This window comes from Homo sapiens, chromosome 20 (assembly GCF_000001405.40).
Source record: "Homo sapiens chromosome 20, GRCh38.p14 Primary Assembly".
Taxonomy (NCBI): domain Eukaryota; kingdom Metazoa; phylum Chordata; class Mammalia; order Primates; family Hominidae; genus Homo; species Homo sapiens.
This window is the reverse complement of record NC_000020.11, coordinates 19011628-19017627: the sequence shown is the minus strand read 5'-3', so window position 1 is coordinate 19017627 and position 6000 is coordinate 19011628.

The window sequence follows — 6000 nt, the reverse complement described above, 5'->3', positions numbered from 1 at the left end:
AACAGCTGAGCCTCTAGGAGAGGAGGGGGAAGGGGGCTGAGAGTAGAATCCTAAACTTCCTCATCAGCGGTGGATTCAGTTATGGGCTCCAATGTTTCACCCCTCCGTGAACCCATGCCCTTACTCTTGCAACTTTGCAGTCCCTCCCGCTAAAGACAGAATGAACTCCTCCTCCTCCACCACCCCACCACCATGCTTTGCTTTGGCCAGTGTGATGTGGGAAGAAGTGTCATGTTCCTGCTGCTAGTCGCACGGTGTGGAACAGAGGCTGCAGCCAGCCACCCGATGGGGCAGGGCTGTGGGACAGGAGGGGCAGGGCCCATGCTGGTCAGGGCCCAGGGGGCGCCACCCTTTCCAGATGGCTGGTGAGATTTTGGGAGTGGACGGGCCACTCAGGTGAAAGGAAGACCATGAACAAGGTCATGGAGGAATGAAAAGAAAATATATATTTCTTGAAGAATGAACAGCTCCAAGCAGTGGGAGCAGCATTGTTTGAAAGAACTTGCTTTGATGATGGAAATGCTCGACACCTGTGTCGTGCAGTGAGGGAGCCGCCAACCTTATGGGCCCATTGAGCGCTTGAAATGTGCCACTGCTACCCAGGAACTGAATTTGTTACTTTATTTAATTTCAAGCAATCAACATTTAAAGGGCCACACATGGCCAGTAGCTCCTGACTGGACGGTACAGGTCTGGAGTGTTGGGTCCTGGGAGTGCTGAAGTAAGACTAGGCTGGAGATCCCTTGCACTCAGAATTTTTGAGCTAAAGGGGCCCAGTAATCACGATAGCATTTGCTGCCTCCCAGGACCCGTGCACAGCACTTGTCATACAAGATCTCATTTAACCTTCCCAGCATCCTTGTAGGGTAGAACAGGTCATTATCCCCGTTTTACAGACAGGTAAACTGAGGCATAGAGGAGCTAAGTGCTGGGGAAAATCACCTGAGAGACACAGCTGGGTGCAAATCAGACTCTGACTGCCGGGCCCCTTCCACATCAATAGGGACCTGAACAGCCACTTACAAAGGCTGCAAAGTCCTTTTCTGGGTGTTTTCCTCTCTTGGACACTGGTGTAATTTGCCCCATCCCCAATAAAAAGCAGAATCTGAGATAGGACTTGCGTACAAGAAGTAATTTTTGCTACTTTTCATGCTGTGGTTTGGGGAGGCAGTGCTGGTGATCTCATGGAACAGGATTGGCAGGGATGAGAGGGAACAAAGTCAACCTAAAGAGGCTTTATTGAACTGGTCACGCCGCGAGCCAGCAGAGCTCCTTCCCGATGGGCTCCTTGGAGAACCTGTGCACATTGCGCCTGTGAATTGGCCACCTGAGATGGAGAGGAGGGGAGTGCCATCCTCCCCAGCTCTGTCCCCCATTGGTCAAGGACTGTCCCATCTCTCAGAGGGACACGGATACAGCAAGGGGACGTGAGGCCAGATTACCCCTGCCCTGAGATGGTTGTCACACCCACATCAGGAGCAAAAATGTGGCTGACACATGTGCGATTCCACTTACAGGAAATGCTCAGAATAGGCAGGCCCAAAGAGCCAGCAGGTGGCCAGGGCTGAGGGCCAGGAGGTGTGGGGAGTGAGTGTTAATGAGGACAGCATTCCTTTATGGAGTGAGGAAAATGTTCTAGGATTAGATGACAGTGATGGTTAACGGTGAATTTTGTTACGTGAATTTTGTTCTAATTTTTAAAAAGTGGGCTGGCAGGAACCATGATGACAGCAAAGAAATGCAGCCAAGCTCCAGGCTCTGAGCTCAATTGCAGGTCCAGCCCCATAAATCCATAAATGCAGCCTCATCCCAGGAAAGGCTTGTCTCTGCACTCAGACCAACCTCCACCCCTGGAGCTCTGACTGAGTGTTGGGGCCGATATGGAGCCCGGGAAGCCAGGATTAGCAGTCCCAGCCCTTCCCAGCTCATCTTCTCAATGCTGCCTCTCTCTGATGGACTCAGACACAACGAGGTCACTGCGTTTGTCCAAGGCTATGATGTGAGTGGCTGCCAGGACTGAGCACAGAGCCCTCACCTGCCCCTCCCCAGCGGAGCCATGTAGCAGGCACACAGGCATCTGCCTCCAGCCCCCACCCCTGAGGTCGCAGCAGGATATGCAGCTGATGTCTCAGCACTGTCCTTCCCCGTCCCCATTGTGCAATCTCGTCACTCTGAAAGGCTTTCTGTTCCTCTGCTGGACCCCACACCAGGCCTCTTCCCTTGCTTGAAGGCAGACAGAGCCTGAAAAGCACCCTGTCCTCTAGGGCCTGCAAGTCCTTCGTGGGGACACCTGGGCTTCCTTTCCTCCTCCTGGCCTGATGAGCCTCGCATGCTCCTCCAGGAAGGGTCCTAACAGCACTCCACAGAACACAGTTTAGATACACCTGAATTAATGTACTCCAATTTACCTGCCAGGGATGCTAGCACAGTGGAAACCCCACCCCTCCATGAAGAGGTGGAGTCTACATCTGGGTGGGCTTGTGACTCACTTATAGCCAGGAGAACATGGTACTGGTGACATCAGCTGACATCTAAGATAGGGTCCAAAAAGCCCATGCAGCTTCCATTATCAGGTGCTGTAGGGGCCCTTGACTTTGAGGCCCTGAGCTGTTGCCTAAGGAGCCCAACTACCCCAAGACCTTCATATTGTGAGGAAGCACAGACCTCATGGGGAGGCCATGTGTAGATGTTCTAGTTGACAGCCTGTTATGGCTTGGCTGTGCCCCACCCAAATCTCATCTTGAATTGTAGCTCCCATAATTCTCACATGTTGTGGGAGGGATCTGGTGGGAGATAATTGAATCTTAGGGGAGATTGCCCTCATACTGTTCTTCTGATAGTGAATAAGTCTCATGAGATCTGATGATTTTGTAAGGGGCTTCCCCTTTCACTTGGCTCGCATTCTGTCTTGTCTGCCACTGTGCAAGATGTGCCTTTGACCTTCCACCATGATTGTGATGCCTCCCCAGCCACGTGGAACCGTGAGTCCATTAAACCGCTTTTTCCTTATGAATTACCCAGTCTTGGGTATGTCTTTATCAGCAGCATGAAAATGGACTAACACACAGCCCTAGCTAAGGTCCCAGCCCACAGCCAGCATCAACAGCCACATGGGTGAGGGAAGACCCTCCAGATAATTCCAGTTCCCAGCCACCGAGCCTTACCTAGACATGGATTCTTCTTTTCAGCCAAGGCCCTGAATATCACAAAGCAGACACATAACACTCTTGCTAGACACTGTCTGAATTCCTGAGCTCCGGGATCTGTGAGCATGATAAAATGGTTGTCTTAGGCTGCTAAGCTTTATAATGCAGCCATAATCCTTGAAACACCCTTCATTCATAATTATTTACTGCACATATATGATGTGCCTGGCCCTATTCTGTGCTTTGGGGATGCAAAGATGAAGAAACACTCAGCCCTTTCTTTAAGGATAGAACGGGTTACTGGTGCTATGAGTGTGCAGCATTCAGTGAAGAATTCTGTAGTGGCTCATTTTAGCAGGGAAATCCAGAGGGACTTCCTGGAAGAGGCTTCCAGAAGTATGGAAGGGTGAGCACAGAAGTGTTTTCTCCATAGATAGTCAGAAACTGCACGACATATTTAAGAAGTTATTGGGTTATGAACTACTGGCCCCTTAAAACCTGACTAAGGTGCCACTCTGCCAGGAGCCCCCACTCTTGCCTATAATATCTGCCTCTCCCTGAAGCCTTGGCTCAATTTCTTAAACATGCCAAACTCTTATCACCATCACAGCCACCTCAAGTGCCTTTTCCTTTGTAAGAACACTGTTCTCCCACCCCTCTTAGTTCTCCCCAGGACAGAAGGCCTCCCCTGAGATGCCCCTTCCATCTCTCTCTCATGCACATCGCATGTGCAATTGTACATGTATCCATCAGCCTGTTTCCCCGCAGCCTCTGCTGCTAGATTTTACCACGAGGGGAAGAGCATGACTGTTTGGCTCATCCCTGTATTCTCAGAGCTAGCACAATGTGGGACACATGTTACACACTCAGTAAATATTGCTGGGAGAATGAGTCCATGAATGAACTAGCCTTGTCCTGGGACCTCAGATCTGTTCTAATCCCTGATCCTATGGTTAGCTGCTTCTAGTTCCTAACCTAATTGTGCCTCCAATCATTGGTTTTCTGGATCCCACCCTCCATCTTAAAATATCTTTCTGCTACCTTCCACGAATTGTCTTTGCTAACCCAGCTACAACACAACCCCACTAGGCCATGGTTTCCATCATCCACCTGGAATCACCCAGCTCTGTTTTGCCAAGCCTGTTCCCCCAAGGTTCCAGTATCACCAACTGGCAACAGCACTTCAAAGTCAGACCACACAGAAGGCTGCAGCATTGTAGTAAAGAATCCAGTGAGGGAGGGGTCTCCCAGAGCTAGAGAGAAGGAGAACAGATGACAAACTGCAGAGAACTTCAACTGCCAGGATGCTGACCCTCCCTCCTGAAGGAAATCACGTGCACCCAAATACTCATATTTAGAGGGAAAAGATCTCAAGGTAATATGAGGTCATTTCACTGAAGTAACTCTAGAGGCAACAAAATAAGTGTCCAGGGAGGTTAACTTCTCCTCGGAGATGCTGGGAAGCTTGACATTTGCAATGGGAGAAGAGGGGGCGGGGCGACAGGAAAGGTATGACTGCAGACGTCAAGCTCTGCCTGCATGGGGTGGCTTCAGAGACATCGTCCCCTGGGTTGTACCATCTCCTTAGCAAAGATAGAGACCATGAATTGCTTCTAAATATAGCCAGGAGGCCAGCACATAGAATTACTCAACAGGAATGCAGAAAGCTGATTTGCTGCTGATCCCCATTTGGCCTGGCTTGATTTCACAATCAAACGAAGAACTTTTTTACTTCCAAGAGTCCTATATTGTCTATTGGTGCCAGCAGCACTGAGAGAGAAGCAACAAGCTCACCCCCACTCGATCTTCCACAGCAATCCAGCAGTCCCACATTTGCTTTCTCCCCACATGTCTTTCTGGGAAAAAAAAAAAAAAAAAAGGCAAAGCCAGTGTGTGAGATAAGTCATTTCAAGGGAGAACCATGGATCCAGGGCCAAGAAGAGGCCACAGTTACCATTTTTTGCTTGTTCTCTCCTCTGCCGAATTTACCATTAGGTTCTGACCTACAAAACCACATCAGAGAGACCTGAGCTCACATTCTGGCTCTGCCACTCACTAGCTATGTGACTTTGAACAAGTGATTTAACCTCTCTGTGCCTCAGTTTCTTATCGTGGGACCCCCACGACAGGTCCCAATGTGTGCTGTTTCCCCATATGTCCATGTGTTCTCCTCATTCAGCTCTCACTTATAAGTGAGAACATGAGATGCTTGGTTTTCTGTTCCTGAATTAGTTTGCTGAGGGTAATGGCTTCCAGCTCCACCTATGTACCTGCAAAGGACATGATCTCATTCCTTTTTATGGCTGCATAGTGTTCCATGGTATATGTGTACCACATTTTCTTTATCCAGTCTGTCATTAAGTGCATTTGGGTTGACTCCACGTCTTTGCTATTGTGAATAGTGCTGCAGTGACCATACACTTGCATGTATCTTTATAATAGAATGATTTATATTCCTTTGGGTATATACCCAGTAATGGGATTGCTGGGACAAATGGTATTTCTGCTTCTAGATCTTTGAGGAATCGCCACACTGCCAGACGCTATTTCTAGGTGTTTAAGATACATTAGTGAATAATACGGACACTGATCCTTGCCCTCATGTAGCTTATATTCAAGTATGGACAGATTAACAATAAGCAGTAACCCTAATAAATAAGTAAATTTACAGTAAGTTGGGTGATACATGGTACAGGAAAGAGAATGTAAAGCAGATGAGGTAGAGGATGGTGGCCACATATTATTTCCTTCTCATTTTACTCCTTCTGTTGGGAGGTGGGACCTAATTCCCATCCCGGTATCAAGGCTTCCTTTTGTGACTTGCTTGACCAAGAGAATATGCCAGAGAGATGTT